Raw genomic sequence first — 20,630 nt, 5'->3', positions numbered from 1 at the left:
AGTCTTTGCTATTGTGAATAGTGCCACAATAAACATACGTGTGCATGTGTCTTTATAGCAGCATGATTTATAGTCCTTTGGGTATATACCCAGTAATGGGATGGCTGGGTCAAATGGTATTTCTAGTTCTAGATGCCTGAGGAATTGCCACACTGACTTCCACAATGGTTGAACTAGTTTACAGTCCCACCAACAGTGTAAAAGTGTTCCTATTTCTCCACATCCTCTCCAGCACCTGTTGTTTCCTGACTTTTTAATGATTGCCATTCTAACTGGTGTGAGATGGTATCTCATTGTGGTTTTGATTTGCATTTCTCTGATGGCCAGTGATGATGAGCATTTTTACATGTGTCTTTTGGCTGCATAAATGTCTTCTTTTGAGAAGTGTCTGTTCATGTCCTTCACCCACTTTTTGATGCGGTTGTTTTTTTCTTGTAAATTTGTTTGAGTTCATTGTAGATTCTGGATATTAGCCCTTTGTCAAATGAGTAAGTTGCGAAAATTTTCTCCTATTTTGTAGGTTGCCTGTTCACTCTGATAGTAGTTTCTTTTGCTGTGCAGAAGCTCTTTAGTTTAATGAGATCCCATTTGTCAATTTTGGCTTTTGTTGCCATTGCTTTTGGTGTTTTAGACATGAAGTCCTTGCCCACGCCTATGTCCTGAATGGTAATACCTAGGTTTTCTTCTAGGGTTTTTATGGTTTCAGGTCTAATGTTTAAGTCTTTAAACCATCTTGAATTAATTTTTGTATAAGGTGTAAGGAAGGGATCCAGTTTCGGCTTTCTATATATGGCTAGCCAGTTTTCCCAGCACCATTTATGAAATAGGGAATTCTTTCTCCATTGCTTGTTTTTCTCAGGTTTGTCAAAGATCAGATAGTTGTAGAAATGCGGCGTTATTTCTGAGGGCTCTGTTCTGTTCCATTGATCTATATCTCTGTTTGGTACCAGTACCATGCTGTTTTGGTTACTGTAACCTTGTAGTATAGTTTGAAGTCAGGTAGCGTGATGCCTCCAGCTTTGTTCTTTTGGCTTAGGATTGACTTGGTGATGCGGGCTCTTTTTTGGTTCCATATGAACTTTAAAGTAGTTTTTTCCAATTCTGTGAAGAAAGTCATTGGTAGCTTGATGGGGATGGCATTGAATCTATAAATTGCCTTGGGCAGCATGGCCGTTTTCATGATATTGATTCTTCCTACCCATGAGCATGGAATGTTCTTCCATTTCTTTGTATCCTCTTTTATTTCATTGAGCAGTGGTTTGTAGTTCTCCTTGAAGAGGTCCTTCACATCCCTTGTAAGTTGGATTCCTAGGTATTTTATTCTCTTTGAAGCAATTGTGAATGGGAGTTCACTCATGATTTGGCTCTCTGTTTGTCTGTTATTGATGTATAAGAATGCTTGTGATTTTTGCACATTGATTTTCTATCCTGAGACTTTGCTGAAGTTGCTTATCAGCTTAAGGAGATTTTGGGCTGAGACAGTGGGGTTTTCTAGATATACAATCATGTCATCTGCAAACAGGGACAATTTGACTTCTTCTTTTCCTAATTGAATACCCTTTATTTCCTTCTGCTGCCTAATTGCCCTGGCCAGAACGTCCAACACTATGTTGAATAGGAGTGGTGAGAGAGGGCATCCCTGGCTTGTGCCAGTTTTCAAAGGGAATGCTTCCAGTTTTTGCCCATTCAGTATGATATTGGCTGTGAGTTTGTCATAGATAGCTCTTATTATTTTGAGATATGTCCCATCAATACCTAATTTATTGAGAGTTTTTAGCATGAAGGTTGTTGAATTTTGTCAAAGGCCTTTTCTGCATCTATTGAGATAATCATGTGGTTTTTGTCTTTGGTTCCATTTATATGCTGGATTACATTTATTGATTTGCATATATTGAACCAGCCTTGCATCCCAGGGATGAGCCCACTTGATCATGGTGGATAAGCTTTTTGATGTGCTGCTGGATTTGGTTTGCCAGTATTTTATTGAGGATTTTTGCATCAATGTTCATCAAGGATATTGGTCTTAAATTCTCTTTTTTGGTTGTGTCTCTGCCAGGCTTTGGTATCAGGATGATGCTGGCCTCATAAAATGAGTTAGGGAGGATTCCCTCTTTTTCTATTGATTGGAATAGTTTCAGAAGGAATGGCACCAGTTCCTCCTTGTACCTCTGGTAGAATTCGGCTGTGAATCCATCTGGTCCCGGACTCTTTTTGGTTGGTAAGTTATTGATTATTGCCACAATTTCAGATCCTGTTATTGGTCTATTCAGAGATTGAACTTCTTCCTGGTTTAGTCTTGGGAAGGTGTATGGGTCAAGGAATTTATCCATTTCTTCTAGATTTTCTAGTTTATTTGCGTAGAGGTGTTTGTAGTATTCTCTGATGGTAATTTGTATTTCTGTGGGATCAGTGGTGATATCCCCTTTATCATTTTGTATTGTGTCTATTTGATTCTTCTCCCTTTTTTTCTTTATTAATCTTGCTAGCGGTCTATCAATTTTGTTGATCCTTTCAAAAAAACCAGCTCCTGGATTCATTAATTTTTTGAAGGGTTTTTTGTGTCTCTATTTCCTTCAGTTCTGCTCTGATTTTAGTTATTTCTTGCCTTCTGCTAGCTTTTGAATGTGTTTGCTCTTGCTTTTCTAGTTCTTTTAATTGTGATGTTAGGGTGTCAATTTTGGATCTTTCCTGCTTTCTCTTGTGGGCATTTAGTGCTATAAATTTCCCTCTACACACTGCTTTGAATGTGTCCCAGAGATTCTGGTATGTTGTGTCTTTGTTCTCATTGGTTTCAAAGAACATCTTTATTTCTGCCTTCATTTCATTATGTACCCAGTAGTCATTCAGGAGCAGGTTGTTCAGTTTCCATGTAGTTGAGCAGTTTTGAGTGAGTTTCTTAATGCTGAGATCTAGTTTGATTGCACTGTGGTCTGAGAGACAGTTGTTATAATTTCTGTTCTTTTACATTTGCTGAGGAGAGCTTTACTTCCAACTATGTGGTCAATTTTGGAATAGGTGTGGTGTGGTGCTGAAAAAAATGTATATTCTGTTGATTTGGGATGGAGAGTTCTGTAGATGTCTATTAGGTCCACTTGGTGCAGAGCTGAGTTCAATTCCTGGATATCCTTGTTAACTTTCTGTCTCATTGATCTGTCTAATGTTGACAGTGGGGTGTTAAAGTCTCCCATTATTATTGTGTGGGAGTCTAAGTCTCTCTGTAGGTCACTCAGGACTTGCTTTATGAATCTGGGTGCTCCTGTATTGGATGCATATACATTTAGGATAGTTAGCTTTTCTTGTTGAATTGATCCCTTTACCATTATGTAATGGCCTTCTTGGTCTCTTTTGATCTTTGTTGGTTTAAAGTCTGTTTTATCAGAGACTAGGATTGCAACCCCTGCCTTCTTTTGTTCTCCATTTGCTTGCTAGATCTTCCTCCATCCTTTTATTTTGAGCCTATGTGTGTCTCAGCACATGAGATGGGTTTCCTGAATACAGCACACTGATGGGTCTTGACTCTTTATCCAATTTGCCAGTCTGTGTCTTTTAATTGGAGCATTTAGTCCATTTACATTTAAAGTTAATATTGTTATGTGTGAATTTGATCCTGTCATTATGATGTTAGCTGGTGATTTTGCTCGTTAGTTGATGCAGTTTCTTCCTAGCCTCGATGGTCTTTACATTTTGGCATGATTTTGCAGTGGCTGGTACCGGTTGTTCCTTTCCATGTTTAGTGCTTCCTTCAGGAGCTCTTTTAGGGCAGGCCTGGTGGTGACAAAATCTCTCAGCATTTGCTTGTCTGTAAAGTATTTTATTTCTCCTCCACTTATGAAGCTTGGTTTGGCTGGATATGAAATTCTGGGTTGAAAATTCTTTTCTTTAAGAATGTTGAATATTGGCCCCCACTCTCTTCTGGCTTGTAGAGTTTCTGCCGAGAGATCCGCTGGTAGTCTGATGGGCTTCCCTTTGTGGGTAACCCGACCTTTCTCTCTGGCTGCCCTTAACATTTTTTCCTTCATTTCAACTTTGGTGAATCTGACAATTATGTGTCTTGGAGTTGCTCTTCTTGAGGAGTATCTTTGTGGTGTTCTCTGTATTTCCTGAATCTGAAGGTTGGCCTGCCTTGCTAGATTGGGGAAGTTCTCTTGGATAATATCCTGCAGAGTGTTTTCCAACTTGGTTCCATTCTCCCCGTCACTTTCAGGTACACCAATCAGACGTAGATTTGGTCTTTTCACATAGTCCCATATTTCTTGGAGGCTTTGTTCATTTCTTTTTATTCTTTTTTCTCTAAACTTCCCTTCTCGCTTCGTTTCATTCATTTAGTCTTCCATCACTGATACCCTTTCTTCCAGTCGATTGCATCGGCTCCTGAGGCTTCTGCATTCTTCACGCAGTTCTCGAGCCTTGGCTTTCAGCTCCATCAGCTCCTTTAAGCACTTCTCTGTATTGGTTATTCTAGTTATACATTCGTCTAAATTTTTTTCAAAGTTTTCAACTTCTTTGCCTTTGGTTTGAATTTCCTCCTGTAGCTCGGAGTATTTTGATCATCTGAAGCCTTCTTCTCTCAGCTCGTCAAAGTCATTCTCCATCCAGCTTTGTTCCGTTGCTGGTGAGGAACTGCGTTCCTTTGGAGGAGGAGAGGCGCTCTGTTTTTTAGAGTTTCCAGTTTTTCTGCTCTGTTTTTTCCCCATCTTTGTGGTTTTATCTACTTTTGGTCTTTGATGATGGTGATGTACAGATGGGTTTTTGGTGTGGATGTCCTTTCTGTTTGTTAGTTTTCCTTCTAACAGACAGGACCCTCAGCTGCAGGTCTGTTGGAGTTTGCTAGAGGTCCACTCCAGACCCTGTTTGCCTGGGTAACAGCAGCGGTGGCTGCAGAACAGCGGATTTTCGTGAACCACGAATGCTGCTGTCTGATCGTTCCTCTGGAAGTTTTGTCTCAGAGGAGTACCTGGCCATGTGAGGTGTCAGTGTGCCCCTACTGGGGGGTGCCTCCCAGTTAGGTTGCTCAGGGGTCAGGGGTCTGGGACCCACTTGAGGAGGCAGTCTGCCCGTTCTCAGATCTCCAGCTGCATGCTGGGAGAACCACTGCTCTCTTCAAAGCTGTCAGACCGGGACGTTTAATTCTGCAGAGGTTACTGCTGTCTTTTTGTTTGTCTGTGCCCTGCCCCCAGAGGTGGAGCCTACAGAGGCAGGCAGGCCTCCTTGAGCTGTGGTGGGCTCCACCCAGCTCAAGCTTCCCGGCTGCTTTGTTTACCTAAGCAAGCCTGGGCAATGGCAGGCGCCCCTCCCCCAGCCTCGCTGCCGCCTTGCAGTTTGATCTCAGACCGCTGTGCTAGCAATCAGCGAGACTCTGTGGTTGTAGGACCCTCCGAGCCAGTTGTGGGATATAATCTCCTAGTGCACCGTTTTTTAAGCCCGTCGGAAAAGCGCAGTATTAGGGTGGGAGTGACCCGATTTTCCAGGTGCCGTCTGTCACCCCTTTCTTTGACTAGGAAAGGGAACTCCCTGACCCCTTGCGCTTCCCGAGTGAGGCAATGCCTTGCTCGCCCTGCTTCGGCTCACGCACGGTGCGCTGCACCCACTGTCCTGCGCCCACTGTCTGGCACTCCCTAGTGAGATGAACCTGGTACCTCAGATGGAAATGCAGAAATCACCCGTATTCTGCGTCGCTCACGCTGGGAGGTGTAGACCAGAGCTGTTCCTATTCGGCCATCTTGGCTGCCCTCCTTCTGATTTTTAATATCTATTAATTCTTAACAAACTGGAGACATTGCTAATGGTTTAATGGATACCCGGAAGGTCATTATCATCTAATATTCATTACTCAAGCCCCCAAATTTACAAGGATTTTTAAAGCATCAGAACTTAAAAATATCTACTGATAAATGGTTGTGTATAAAATTAGTCCACCCTGAAAACTGCCTCTTTGCTGAATGCTAGTTTCTATCTCTGTCCATCACACTAAGAGTTCTGTTACCGGTGAGCTGTGACAGGGTAAACACAAAGTGCAAGTGCAAAGTAAACTGACTTCATTAAAATGGCACTGCAAAACTTGCAGATGCAGGATGTCACATAGTGCATGAATGTGTCCCCCAAGGTTCATGTGTTGGAAACTTAATTCCCATTGCAGCAGTGTTAAGAGGTGGGACCTGTAAGAAGTAATTTGGTCTTGAGGGCTCTGCCTTATGAATGGATTAATGCTGTTATTATGGGAGTGGTTAGTTATTGTAGGAGTGGGTTCCTGATAAAAGGATGATTTTGCCCCCCCCCCTTCCTTCTCTCTTTTCCCCTCTCTCTTGCCCTTCCGACTTCTGCCATGGGATGATGTAGCAAGATGGCCCTTACCAGATGCTGGCACCTTGATATTTGACTTCCCAGCCTCCAGAACTGTGAGAAACAAATTTATTTTCTTTATAAATTACTCAGATTGTGGTGTTCTGTTACAGCAACACAAAATGGACTATGTGAAGAAAACCATGTTGGAATCTTGTGCTGTCATTGATAAGAAAGGATCTGAGCATTAGGTCAATCACCAAAAAACTGAAAAATCAGTAACAATGATGACAGACTCTTCAAATAGGATGATTTAAATTTTAGGAAATTGGAAGAAGACTCCAAGAAACTTAACAAGGTCCTCCAATATTTTCCCCAAAATGATCTTCTCTGATTTGACTATGCTTGTTCCTCCATATCTCCCTGATCCCTAGACTTCTTCTGTCCTCTATCCACATTCTCTCCCAAGGTGGGTCATCTAGTTTCATGACTTTAAATCCTCCCTTAAACTGTTGGTTCTCAAATATGCACTTGTCACTTCTCTCCTAAACTCCAGACTCATGTATTCAGCTACCTACTTGACACTTCTGTGTGGATGTCTAGTAGGTAATAATCTTAGAATTATTGTGCCCTGTCAAATTCCTGCTCTTCCCTCTAAAATATCTTAATACTATTCAGTCTTCCCCATTTCTGTTTATCTCAGTTCCTTTTCAGGTCAAAAACCTGAGTTATCTTTGATTCCTCTCTTTCTCTCACATTCTAGTAGTCCAGTTCCTTTCATAATCAGATCAATTAGTAAGCCCTATCAGCTCCATTTTTAAAATGTAACTAGGATCCCAACACTTCTCACCATTTCCACTACTACTCTGTCTCCCACCTGATTCTTTCAGGAGCCACTCGATTCGTTTCCTGCTTCTACCCTCACTACTCTACAGTCTATTGTCAGCTCAGCAGCCACGGTAAGCCTACTTTCACTTCCCTGCTCAAAACTCTATTGGACTCTTCATCTCAGAGTAAAGGTCTTTCCAGTGGTATACAATATCCAATCATATCTCTCCAGATTGCCTACCTTCCTCCCCTCACTCCCTCCATTCCGGCTGCACTGGCTCCTTGCTCTTCTTTGAACGCATTAGGCACATCCTGCTCCAGGACATTTGCACTTGATGTTCCCTCTAACTAGAATGCTCTTTCTCTGGATATTCATATGTTTCTCTCCTCATCACCTTCAAATCTTTTCCCTCATGTCATCTTCTCAGAGAGACATATTCTGACCACCCTCTTTAAACTGTAGTCTTTACCAATATTCTGTACTACTTATTCACCATCTCTGCTTTTGTATTTTCTTCTTAGTATTTGCTACTTTCCAGCATGATCTGCTTTTCCCTAATATTTTATGATTTATCACCCATTAGAATATAAGGTCCATGAAAACACGAAAAATATTTTCTTTTTTTTTTTTTGACTGATCCCACTGCCTAGAACAGTGCTTGGTGCATAGTAATTAGTCAATAAATATTTGTTGGATGAATGAGTAGATGTCTTGAAAGTCAAATAGGAAGGAATATGGTGATGTCATACAATTTTATTAAAAAATATATGCATCCCTAGTATTCTAAGAATTAGCACATAGTAAAGTTATAGCCTAATTTTATAAACTCTAAAATCACTTTTATGGTTTTTAGCTGCTGTTTTTCAAGATAAAACTCCAAACAAGTACAGTTTTCAGTATTTCTTATGATATATTCATCATTATTTCAAATGCATTGGCTTTATGGGGCCTGCACAATCATCTTTAGATAAAAATGACCTCTTATATTTCTGGGTGACTAGACACAAGCCTTAATTAATTTTTAAAAAGGGATTCTATGCAGAAGGGACAGTGTTTCTGCCTGTCTTCTTTCACACTTTGCACACCCAGGCCATCTGGAGTGAAAATGAAGTCTGCCCAGAGCTGCTGGAAGCCCCAGCTGCCCTGCTGCCCATGGAGTCCTCTGAGGACGACTCCAGAGTCCCTCAACTCCTTGGAGGAGATAAGCAGCCAACACAGTGTTGTTCAGCAGATGCCACCGTCTGCCATGTAAGTTAAATAAGGCAGACAGCAGCAGCTAAGGAGATTTTAGCCTCCTGTTCTAAACAGTATTTTAGCTTAACAGCAGAAAACGTTTAACATGTTCCCCCACTCCTAGAAAAACAAGCAATTTATCTTCAGGGAGAGGGAGAAAAAGCACTTTCCACCATTCTGATGGGTCATCAAGTTTAAAAGCTCTCTTATCCCTAAACCTTTAGAGAAACTAACAGAAAGTATGTTTCCCTTTCCCTGCAGCTTATTTACCTTGCAAATTGTTTGTCTGCCCGGAAGTGCTACAATAATGGCTACATATATATTTTTGTTTCCAGATTCATTAATGATGTCAGAAGTGTAAAACTAAAGGCAGAAGACTGTTGTTTTCAAGATTGCTCCCCAACTAGGCTTGGCGACCCTTGAAGGCAGAGGACCTTTCTGAGTTATCTTTGTACCCTGCATAGTCCTGGCACAAAATAGCACCTAAGTCATTCATTTAGCAAATTTTTTAAAACAATATTCCTGTCATGACACATTCAGCAATTATTTATTTATTTATTTATTTATATTATTTTTAGAAACAGGGTCTTGCTCTGTCACCCTGGCTGGAGTGCAGTGGTGCAATCATAGCTGCAACCTCGACCTCCCAGGCTTAAGTGATCCTCCCACCTCAGTCTGTAGAATAGCTGGGACTACAGGAATACACCACCACAACCCAGCTCATTAAAAAAAAAATTCTGTAGAGACAAGGGTGTCTTGCTATGTTTCCCAGGCTGGTCTCAAACTCCTAGCCTCAAGCAGTCTTCTCATGCTGGCCCCCCAAATCACTAGAAGTACAGGCATGAGGCACCATGCTTGGCTATAAGCACATTTTTAATGAGCACTTAGTATGTGCCACATGCTGCAGATGTAGCCACAAGCCTCTGACCTCACAGACCTCATATTAAACAAGTAAACAAATAAGGTAATTTTAGATTTTTTTCAGTGCTACAAAATAAAAACAGGGAAATAGGAGAGAGAGTAGAGAACAGGACTTTGAGAAGAAAGTCTGGAATCCCCAAGAAGGTGGGTGTCAGAAAAGAGATTTGGCACAGACCCCGCCCCTTTTTTTTTTTTTTTTTTTAACCACCAGGCCCTGGAATTTGAACCACCATCTTCTGGAGTGACTCAAATGCAGAGGAAGCCAGGCCTGCTGCTAACGTTTCTGAGAGGCGGCAAGAGTATAAATGGAGATCCACATATGTATAAATAAAGAGTGTGAATCAAGCTAACAAACTGTTTAATAAAATATGATCTACCCTCTTAGCTTGACAAATCAACTTTTCAAACACCTGGAAGAACAAGTTTGCACTCAGGATTCTCAGACTCCTCAGAGTTCTGCACTGGGATGTGGAAGGGCTGTGCAAGCCAGCCCTTGGGTCCCTGATCCCTGTCTCCTGGCCTGTGCCCGTCTCTTCTCAGCCTGGCTCCAACTCCCATTGAGAGGAAGTTCTTGTACACATATGATACTGCAGCCCTTATGTCTAATATTTATCCATACCTTCTGCAAACAGCCACTGTGTGACCACCCTTGGGCTTCCCAGGGGTCTGCAAACTGACAATACAGACAAAGGGAACCAAGGCAGAGGCTCACAGACTGTAGAAATGGGCTTGGGGCCATCTGGGCAGAGACTTGTGGAATCCCAGGTAAGCAGGGCATCTTAGTTTGCTTGTGCTGCTTAAATACTATGGAAGAGGTAATTTATAAATATTAGAATTTATTTCTCAGAGTTCTGGAGGCTGGGAAGTCCAAGGTCCAGGTCAAGGTGCTAGCAGATTTGCTGTCTGGTGGGAGCTGCTCCCTCTGCTTCCAAGATGGCACTTTTTTGCTGTGTCCTCTGGAGGGGAAGAAAGCTTAGACGGGCAAAAGGGGGCAATTATCTCTCTGAGACCTCTTTTGTAAAGGTATTAATCCATTCCTGAGGGCTCTGCCCTCATGACTTAATCACTTTCCCAAAATCTCATCTCTTAATACTACCTCAATGAAGATTAAGTTTCCATATGAATTTTGAAGGGGTCACATTCAAGCCACAGCACAGAGCATGACCTAGCAGAGGAGACGCAAGCTCTGGGTGTGTAAGTCCCCTTTGCTCCATGGACTTCGTGCTTCATGGGAAGGGATGTGGCTGGAGGGTACCCCTCTACAGCACAGGGCCCAGAGCACCCCTCTTGCCTTGGGTTTAGGGATAGTATAGGTGGTGGTGGTGAGGCTACTTTTGCTCATTAAGAAAAGCCTCTTTGAGGGGTGGGACCGAGAATGTCATTTGAATGGAAACTTGAATCATAAAGATGAGTCATACAAGCCAAGACTTGGGAGAAGGGCATTCCTAAATGAGAGAAGAGGATATGCCCAGCTCTCATAAGCTCTGAAGAAGAGTCACCAACTGTGGTGGGTGGAGCCTAATTAAGAGGAGAAGAATGGTAAGAGACAAGGTGAGATGGTCAGGCAGGAGCAGGGAGCCTGGAGGTCAGGTAAGGGGGCTTGACTTTGCCATGGGTGCAATGGGAAGCCTCTGGAGGGTTGATATGATTTGAATTCTGTTACAGCACGATCACTCTGGGTGCTGTGTGAAATGGATGAATAGCAAGGAGCTGCAGCCAAGAGCAAATCAACAGAAGCACCACTCAAAATGCCTCAGTACCCATTACATAAGGATTCTTGTGATTAATTCTTCCCCAAAATTTAGAGCCAAGAAAAATCCAGCTCTCCTACTGAGAGTTGTAGATTAGAGCTTCTGTTTCTAATCTACAAACAAACAAATGTGTGCAATGTCTTTTCATGACAATTCCAACTTTATCATAAGGTTGTCTACTAAGAAACTAGTAGGCAGGTTTCTCTTGTTGTCTAGACCACCTGAAAGCTCATAGCTGAGTTTGCACTTATTTGCAGAGTAAACTGCTCATTTATCAATCTGGCATCCAATCACAACTTTTTAGCTAACTGTATGTTTTCATAAACACTTTTCTCACACAGTATAAATTTTAAATAAATAACAATAGCAATTAAGTAGTAACAACTCGAGACTGGTATCTGACTAGTGGTTCTTTCACCAGTGTGTACACTGGAAGTTTTGTTTTGTTTTTTGATGTTTGTACATTGTAATTGCAGGACAGGTAGTAAGAAGATTTCAAATTCACATTAGCTTTGCTACCACTAAATTATGGTGACTGTTCCTAATTTGCAAACAAATGTATGCAATCTCTTTTTATGATTATCCCAACTTTATCATAAGGTTGTTATATTTTAAGACATATGAAAAGATATAAAGTATAATACAGTGAATACATATATATCTAACTCCCAGTTTAAGAAATAAAACATTAGCAAATACAGCTGAAGCTCCATGAATTCCCCTCCCAAATCATACTCCCTTCCCACCCGCAGAGGGAACCTCTATTCTGAGCCTGGTGTTTATCACCACCAAGAATTAAAAAAATACTTTTACTATATATACACAAGTATGTACCCCTTAGAAATGAGTAGTAGTACTGTTTTGTATGTCTTTACACTTTAAGTAAATGGTATAAGTTATTTCTTGTTTTTGCTCAAAATTGTTGAAATTTATGCCCTTTGATTCTATAGCTGACTTTCACTGTGAGTCATTCCATCATTATTTCTGTATTCATTCTCCTGCTGAAGTACATTTCAGGTTGTTGCTATTCCTCTGCTGATCCCCCTCCCCCAACACACATGCTTTTATTAATAAATCTGCTGGAACATTCTTGCATACATCTCCTTGGATGTGTTGTATCATAAACCACAAAATATACTGAGCTTTTCAGACACAGGTTCTACATTAAGTCATTATTTTCAGATTGATTTACCATTGCTCATATTCAATCCTTTAGAATGGCCTCAAGAGGATATTTTATAATATTGGAGCACAATCCAGAGAGGGACAGAGTAATTTTAAAAATCAGAATTACAGAATTTTTTTAAATCCCTGTAAGGTACCAAGGAGCTCACCTAATCGAACACCTTCATTTTATGGACAAGAAAACCAATGCTCAGAGGGGGAAGGAGTTGTCTAGTAGTGAGCACTGGGCTATCGGGGGAAGCAGATACCTTCATTGAGCCTCCACTGTGATGGACATGTGTACAAACCATAAAAATAAGCCCCTTGCTTTCCCTTCTGTTCTCTAAGCCTCACTAAACAATGTGCCATGAAACATAGCCCACTTGATGAAGTCCTTCCTGAATGAATTACAATTGTGCTTCCTTTATCAATTCAAGCCACACTTTTTTTCATTTTTGAAGAGTCAATTTCACCACAGCTTTACTGAAGTAGAAGCAAAGATCAGAAGATAAAATAGATTTCTTTACCAAGCATAACTAGAATAACTAGATTTACAAAGGACAATTTTTTAAAAATCACAAAGGAGAAAATAGAGCATAAAGTTGGAAGAATTTCTCAGAGCAAGGATGAGTTCCCATGACTGGGAAACTATTCAGCTTCCTTAGTTAAGAGTGAATTTTAAAATCTGCATTTCATTTGGTGAGTTTCAACAAGGACTCTTTCCTTGACCAAACCTTAATCATGTTCCTCTGAGGCCTCTTCTTGACTAGGCCTGGTCCTGGCCGGCAGAGCCCAGCTCAGCAAGAATCCCCCGACCCTTAATACCTAACCAAATTCTCTTAGTAATTTCCTATCCACTGACCCCTTCGCCATGCCCATTGGCCATAAATCCCCAGCTGTCCCTGCTGCAACCAGAGTCAAGATTAATCTCTCCCCTGCTGCAGTAGTCTTGAATAAAGCCTTCCTTGCCTGTTTAATTATGTTTCATGCTTTTTTTCTTCAACAGATTCACCTCCCAATACCACACTGTCACTGAGTCCTTCATCCCAAACTGCCTGTAATTAGGATGGCCATGTGTAGCCGTTTACTGAGACAGTCCCAGTGCATGCCTGACACAGAAGCACAATAACCAATGGCTGCCCAATCTACTCTCAAAAGTGCCTTGGTTTGCACAATAAATTGTCTTCACACACATGAGGTGTGAAATTTACTGGCTAGAGACACTCATTAAGAAGAGGACTTTAAAAATGGTGCTACAGCAATATACACAGAACAAAAGCAAATTCATGAAACTAGAACACTCCCTTTTTCATAGTGCCTCCAGAGGCATAGTTACATTTGATTTATATCATATTCTATCCAAGTTAAGTGTTTCACCATAAATAAAAATTGATTTTCACGAATTTCTCATTCAAACATATTCATACAATGCCTTTATTATGCCTCTCCTTTGGCAACTACAAATGGGTTTATTATAGAACACTGGCCGGAAATGTGACATGCATTCCAGAAAGAGAGGAAGATGGGGGAAGGAGACAGGTAGAATGGAGATAGATAGAAAGAGACCAGGAAGGCCAAGGTAGTATAGGCTTCAGGAAAAACAGCTGAGATTGGGGAATCGATACCTCATTTTACAGAAATTGCATTAAATGACTGAAATGAATTTGCAAAACAATAATTGAGGCTGACACCTGCTCTTGACAGAAGGGATGAATCAAGACTGAGCTGTGCTTTAGCACCTGCTGTGGTGAGAAAGAACAAGAGGGGAACTGCTAAAGCTTTTTGCCTAGAAATGCTGAGTTTTTTAATTGCTTTCTGAAGCCAAAAGAGAAAATTCCTCGTTAAGGTGGGGTTTGCTGAGTGATTTTTGAGCAATGGTTTGTTTGTTTGTCCTAGCTACTTCCACGTATTTGAAAACATTTGCAAGAGGCCCTTATTCTGCCAAGCTTTCTTAGGTCTGATGGAATGAGATGAGAATAACAACTGCACACTCAGTGAGTAGGATCTCAGGCATGGGCTTTCAGACATAAGATGTGATGCAGGGGAGAGGGGAACAAGTTAGATCATATAATCTCCAAAGTTTCCTCTAACTGGAAAGTCTAAGGTTCTGCCATTCAGTGGACTCTCTACATGGGTTTGTTAATCCCATTTTACAGAAGGAAAGATTCAAACAAGGAGAGAGCAAGGACAATGAAGGGGAGCGGGGGCCTCTTCATCAGTGCTCAGTATGTGACCCACAGGGTCAGACTGACAATTTAGAAAAGAGGAGCCAAGGCCATCACAAGGATGCTCTGCTGAAGCCTCAAGGAAACGTGATCCCACCAGCAGCATTGCATCACATGTGAGCTGCTTAGACATGCAGAATCTCTCACCCCTCCTCAGACCTACTAATCACAATCTGCATTTAATGAGACCCCAAGTTCTTCATATACACATTAGAGTTCGAGAAACACAGGCTCTGGTTTGCATTTCTCTGATGATTAGTGATGTTGAGCAGTGATTACATTTATAGTAGCAAGACTCTAGAAAGTAGTTACAACTATGAACTAGCTTTTTAAAAATATAATTGCAACTTTATTTTAGATTTGGGGGCATGCATACATGTGCAGGTTTGTTACATGGGTATACTGTATATTGTGTGATGCTGAGGTTTGGGATATGAATGGCCCGATCACCCAGATAGCAAGCATAGTACTCAACAGTTTTTCAACACTTTCCCCTTCTCTTCCTCCCTCCTCTAGTGGTCTTCATTGCCTATAAGTGACAACATGTGGTATCTGGTTTCTGTTCCTACAATAATTTGCTTAGAATAATGGTCTCCAGCTGCATCCATGTTGCTGCAAAGGACATGATTACATTCTTTTTTATGGCTGCAGCATATTCCATGGTGTATATTTACCACATTTTCTTTATCCAGTCCCCCACTGATGAGCACCTAGGTTGATTCCATGTCTTTGCTATTGTGAATAGTGCTGCGATGAACATACATGTGCATGTGTCTTTTTGGTTGAACACTTTGTTTTCTTTTAGATATATACTCAGTAATGGGATTGCTAGGTCAAATGGTATTCCTGTTTTAAATTCTTTAAGAAATCTCCAAGCTGCTTTCCACAGTGGCTGAACTAATTTACATTCCCACCAACAGTGTATAAACCTTAGCTTTTCTCTGCAGCCTCACTAGCATCTGTTGTTTTTTGATTTTTTGATAATAGCCATTCTGACTGATGTGAGATGGTATCTCATTGTGGTTTTGATTTCCATTTCTCTGATATTTAGTGATGTTGAGCATGTTTTCATGTTTCTTGGCCACTTGTATGTCTTCTTTTCAGAGGTGTCCATGTCTTGCCCATTTTTTAAATGGGGTTATTTGGTTTTTTGCTTAATTATTTAAGCTCCTTAAAGATTCTGGATACTAGACCTTTATTACATAGTTTGCAAATATTTTCTCCCATTCTGTAGGTTGTCTGTTTACTCTGTTGATAGTTTCTTTGGCTGTGCAGAAGCTTTTTCATTTAATTAGGTTCCACTTGTCAGTTTTTGCTTGTGTTGGAATTGCTTTTGAGAACTTATTCATATATTATTTCCCAAGGCTGATGTCCAGAATGGTGTTTCCTAGGTTTTCTTCTAGAATTCTTACAGTTTGAGGTCTTACATTTAAATCTTTAATCCATCTTTAGTTAATTTTTATATATGGTAAAAGGTAGGGATCCTGTTTTATTCTTCTGCCTATGGCTAGCCAGCTATCCCAGCACCATTTATTGAATAGGGAGTCCTTTCCCCATTGCTTATTTTTGGAAGACTTTGTCAAAAATTAGACAGCTGTAGGTGTGAGGCTTATTTCTGGGTTCTCTATTCTGTTCCATTGGTCTATGTGTCTGTTTTTGTACCAGTATCATGCTGTTTTGGTTACTGTAGCCTTATAGTACAGTTTGAAGCCGGGTAATGTGATGCCTCCAGCTTTGTTCTTTTTGCTTAGGATTGCTTTGGCTATTTGGGCTCTTTTTTAGTTCAATGTGAATTTTATAATAGTTTTTTCCTAATTTTGTGAAAAAATTCTGTTGGTCATTTGATAGCAATAGCATTGAATCTGTAGATTGCTTTGGGTAGTATTGCCATTTTAACAATATTGATTCTCCCAATTCATGAATATGGAATGTTTTTGTATTTGTTTGTGTCATCTATGATTTCTTAGCAGTGTTTTGTAGTTCTCTCTGTAGAGATATTTCACCTCCTCTGTTAGATATATTCCCAGGTATTTTATTTTTTGTCTCGCTATTGTAAATGGGATTGCCTTATGAACTAGCATTGACATAGAATTCTGACATTCTTATAGGATCAGGCCAGCTTTCTAAGCTGGGAGGCATTGTTTCCCATACAGCATCCTCTACTGAAATACTAAGCTTTCTTTTTTACAATATGAGTTTAAATCTGGTAAAGGTACTGTAGAAGGAGTTACCATCAATTTCAGGCTACAGCTGTCTTTCCTTCTCTCTCTCTCTCTCTCTCCCTCCTCTTCCCCATCTCTGGAGGACAGATTTGCATTAATAATAGTTTTGATTTTTAACACATTGTTAGTATTAATTAGTCTACTGTTCTATGTCTTAAGAGGAGAACACCAGCCTTGCATGAGATGGAGATTATGAATCACAGTTTGTTTGGTAGTTTGCTGGATCTCCTTGTCCACATTTACTCCTGACTTCTAATTCTGCATTGGCTAGAATTTTCTTTGCTTAACTAAGCAGGAAACCATTTTCTCTTTAATTTGGGTACTACTACATTCTAATTTTATTTTACTGATGATCTGACTAGAAAGTGACAACCAAGCATAAACCTGTGTTAATAATTTAATTTTTCTTTTATTTTCTTTGTATCTGGGGAAGGTACTGCAGAAATTATTTGTTGTAAAACAGTTTTGATAAGATCTAACATATGGGCAATCCTGGGGAAGAAAAAAAAGAATTAAATCACAGGTTTTATGTTGAGCTATATGGAATTGCCATTTTTACAGGTTAAAAACAAGTCAAATATGGGCAATTTCATACAGTTCAGATTAATTAGAATATTTTAGTTTAGAATTTCTTGACAAGAAATATTGAAAAAATAGAAAGTGCTGTTTCTGGAGGCTGCATTGTTTATTTTACTTGGAGACTTGTTTTTATGAAATTAAAAAAAAATGTTTTCAGAGGCTAGATAACCATCTTTGTATTCTAAGCCACCATAAAGAATAGTGTATTAGAAAGTAAGGTTCAGTTATAGATTCAGGATGAATGTATGTGTCCTTGAAGGAGATTTATTTTTTGCATGTGTGAAAGAAAGGTAGATATAAATGGTGCTAGACTTTGACACCAAAAATTAGGGCAAGTTTCTTTTCTACTTCCTTGTCACAGTCAGGTAAACTCTGATAGGAGTAAGAAGAGAAGATATTTCCCCTACAGACCCACCACCAAGTTACCACCACTCTAGTTGGAAGGTGGGAGAGTATTTGAATATTTCAAAGCAAAGTAGTCCCTTTTTGGTTAATTATTACAATCATACTATAAGCATGCTGAGTCTCCATGGCACTCTGGGCATAATTCTATGACAGCCTGAACTGCATCACAGTGTAATTGTGTGTTTCAATGTCTGTTTTTCCCATACCAGCCCAATATCACACTTTGAGTAGTAAAGTAGGAATCATGCTTATTTGTAATGATGTGCCTAGTGAGTGCCAAGGGAGCTTAGCACACAGTAGGCATTAATAAGTATTTTCTTTCAAATGTAAAAGTTTGTTAAATAAATGACTTTTAATAACAAGTCACATTAGAAAAAATTGATTATATTAAAAATCTTTGTGGAGTATGGAAATCAATTTGGCAATAAGTAAGAATCCTGTGAACTAGTAATTATAATAAAAGGTCACATCTATGAACTAGTAATTACAAGATATTTATCTTAGTCTGAAATTTGAAAATAGCATTAGGTAAAAAAAAGTTTATGTCAACATTATATATGAGTTATAAAACTGAAAACAACCCAAAAACCCAAGAGTACAATATTATATTATAGAGAAATTAATGATGTTTTTGGAATATTTAATCATATTGGAAAATGCTCAAGAAAGGTGGGTCAAAAATAAAAAATGATATTAATGTCCTGCTTACATTAGTTCAATTAGCATTACATCACCAGAATGTCCTAAGTTATTCAAATTTCTACCAAAATAGTTTTTGTAATGGCTATAGAATATGCCATTGGATATAAATATTATAAATTATCAACTGTTTTATAAATATATATATATATATATACACATGTACACACGCATACTAAACAATGACATATGGATGAGATCATATATGCCTATTGTTCTGCATCTTCCTTTTCTCGGTTAACAATATACTCTAGAGAGCTCACCACACAAGCGTGTGCAGATCTTTCTCACTTCTTTTTAATGCCAGGACAGTATGCATTTGCAGAGATATATGTTGACTTTCCAAAACAACTCTTATTGATACTTTTAGGCTATTTATAGCTTTTTGTTATTAAAAAAATTCTGTAAGTATATACCTTTGATATATGTTTTTGTGCATTTATACAAGTATTTATATAGCATAAATTCTGAAATTTGCTGAATTAAAGAGAATTTTCACTTAAAAAATTTGAACAGACGTTGCCAAATTGCTCTCCAAATTATCACACTAATTAACATTCTCTTCTGTATGAAAGTAACTGCTTCATTTTAAAATGGAAATAATGAATGGGATATATTTGTGTTTATGTATTTGTTTGGGATTGAAATAGAGCTCAAGAACGCCAATGATACTATGGCACAACTGAAGTAGGTTTTTCTCCCTCCTTCCCTATCTCCCTTCCCACCTCTTCTTCCTCTTCACCTTCCTTCAATTTTTCTTTCCTTACTTCCCTCTTTCCCCTCTTCCTCCTTTCTTTCCCATCATTCTACCTTAGTATTTTATCTAATGGGAGAAGAGATAGAGGAAAAATTAGACTGAAGGACAGTGAAGAATCTGAAGAAAGCAGGAAATGGGCTTAAGTTGGAAGCAGACTGTTGGGAATACATGGAAATCTGCAGAGTGGAGCAAGTCAGACATACTGAGGAGGACGGACAGTTTGGATATGATTTTCTCATCTGGGGAACTTGTTTAAAAATGAGGTCTGCAGTAGGGCCTAAGATTCTGCATTTCTTTCTCTCGTTCCCTCCCCTCCCCTCCCCCTCCTCCTCTCCTCCTCCTTCTCTCCTCCTCCTCCTCCTCCTTCTCCTTCTTCTTGGGTGGGGGTAGAGACAGGGGTTTCACTATGTCACCCAAGGGTTTCACTGTGTCACCCAGACTGGTCTTGAATTCCTGGCCCCAAGCAATTCTCCCGTCTCAGCCTCCCAAAGTGCTAGGATTACAAGCACGAGCCACCACAGCTGGTCAGATTCTGCATTTCTAATGGGACCTCCAGTGATACTGCGGCTCCTCATCTGGGACCACACTTTGAGGAACACCAATTAGTTGCCATAAATTATAGGCAGGAGTGTTCCTAATCAGTGGTAAGGACTGTGATCATCACTATTTACAGCCAAGGATGCCTCCTGGAAATGTAACAAGGGGATGAAAGCAATGAGTGGGAGCAGTGTATCACTACTGCTTCACCCATCAGTTGCAACCTGTGCTGAAACCAGCACCAGGACCAAACAGCTGCTGCACTCATACCAATGCTTAGTTTTTCACTCTGGCAGGAACCCTTATTGAGGAATCAGGTCAAATTTTATTCGTTTCATCTCTAAAGCTCTGTCACAGAGTCCTTCAACATTTCCTTGATTCACATAATATCTGGTGCTGCTGACACTGTCCTAGGTTTAAGTGGCAATTGCTTGCCTTAGCTTCAGTCCTGAGGGTGCCCACAAACTGCAGCTGGTAGGATGGAAGCCTCACCCCATTATTTTCTATATTGGATGAGATGAACAAAAAGGAAATTATTGCCTAAAGGCCCAGCATTAAAATAGTTTGAGTCCAAGCTTGCAAGCATCTCAACTTTCATTTGAAATTTTAAGCCATTTTTAAGCTCCTCTATAAACTCTCCATGTTCCACTGAAATAGTTTTTGAAGTGTTACATTCCAGCAAAGTTAGGATTGTTCCTATATGCTTTGGAACCAGGTGCTTTTATATTTAATTCTTCCTGTGTAATAGTTTCTTTACCATCAGTTTTTGCAAATCAAGGAAAGTACAAATGCTAACTTCAAAAAACTCGCAAGCTGAAGTTGAGAGGAATATTTTCTTCCTCTCTGATCTAAGCCAGACAGTGTTGGATGCTGGCATGCCTAGGTTTTCCCTCTCTCAGTTTCCATCTAAGGACAGGATGACATAAAGATACTGTTTTTAAAGTATCAACAAAAAAAGCAAAAACAAAGAAAAACAAAAAAGCAAAAACACACATAATCAAAATACAGGCAGGAGCTCAGGCTTGGAGC

At 39.8% G+C, this 20,630-nt stretch overlaps 1 protein-coding gene and 1 long non-coding RNA gene across 52 annotated transcripts in view, besides 1 other annotated feature; one reads left to right on the top strand and one right to left on the bottom strand.

Moving 5' to 3' along the window:
- The window catches only part of NUDT16-DT (NUDT16 divergent transcript), a 56,384-nt gene extending 44,272 nt beyond the window's left edge, over positions 1 to 12,112 (top strand). The window contains exons 3-4 of the long non-coding RNA NR_038976.1: positions 9,474 to 10,027; positions 10,928 to 12,112. This is a non-coding gene — a long non-coding RNA (NUDT16 divergent transcript). The remainder of the gene's footprint in view (positions 1 to 9,473; positions 10,028 to 10,927) is intronic.
- Positions 1 to 20,630, bottom strand: part of NEK11 (NIMA related kinase 11) — a 323,589-nt gene that overhangs the window by 13,262 nt on the left and 289,697 nt on the right. The window lies entirely within an intron of this gene.
- Positions 4,960 to 5,507: an enhancer, noted in NCBI's record as "NANOG-H3K27ac-H3K4me1 hESC enhancer chr3:131050541-131051088 (GRCh37/hg19 assembly coordinates)". NCBI's record gives its function as "activates a minimal SCP1, AML or CMV promoter by ChIP-STARR-seq in naive H9 embryonic stem cells {active_cell/tissue: H9 hESC(naive)}" and the evidence as "EXISTENCE:reporter gene assay evidence [ECO:0000049][PMID:30033119]".

This window comes from Homo sapiens, chromosome 3 (assembly GCF_000001405.40).
Source record: "Homo sapiens chromosome 3, GRCh38.p14 Primary Assembly".
Taxonomy (NCBI): Eukaryota; Metazoa; Chordata; class Mammalia; order Primates; family Hominidae; genus Homo; species Homo sapiens.
Note: the sequence above shows the minus strand (reverse complement) of the source record. Positions and strands in the feature narration are given on the sequence as shown.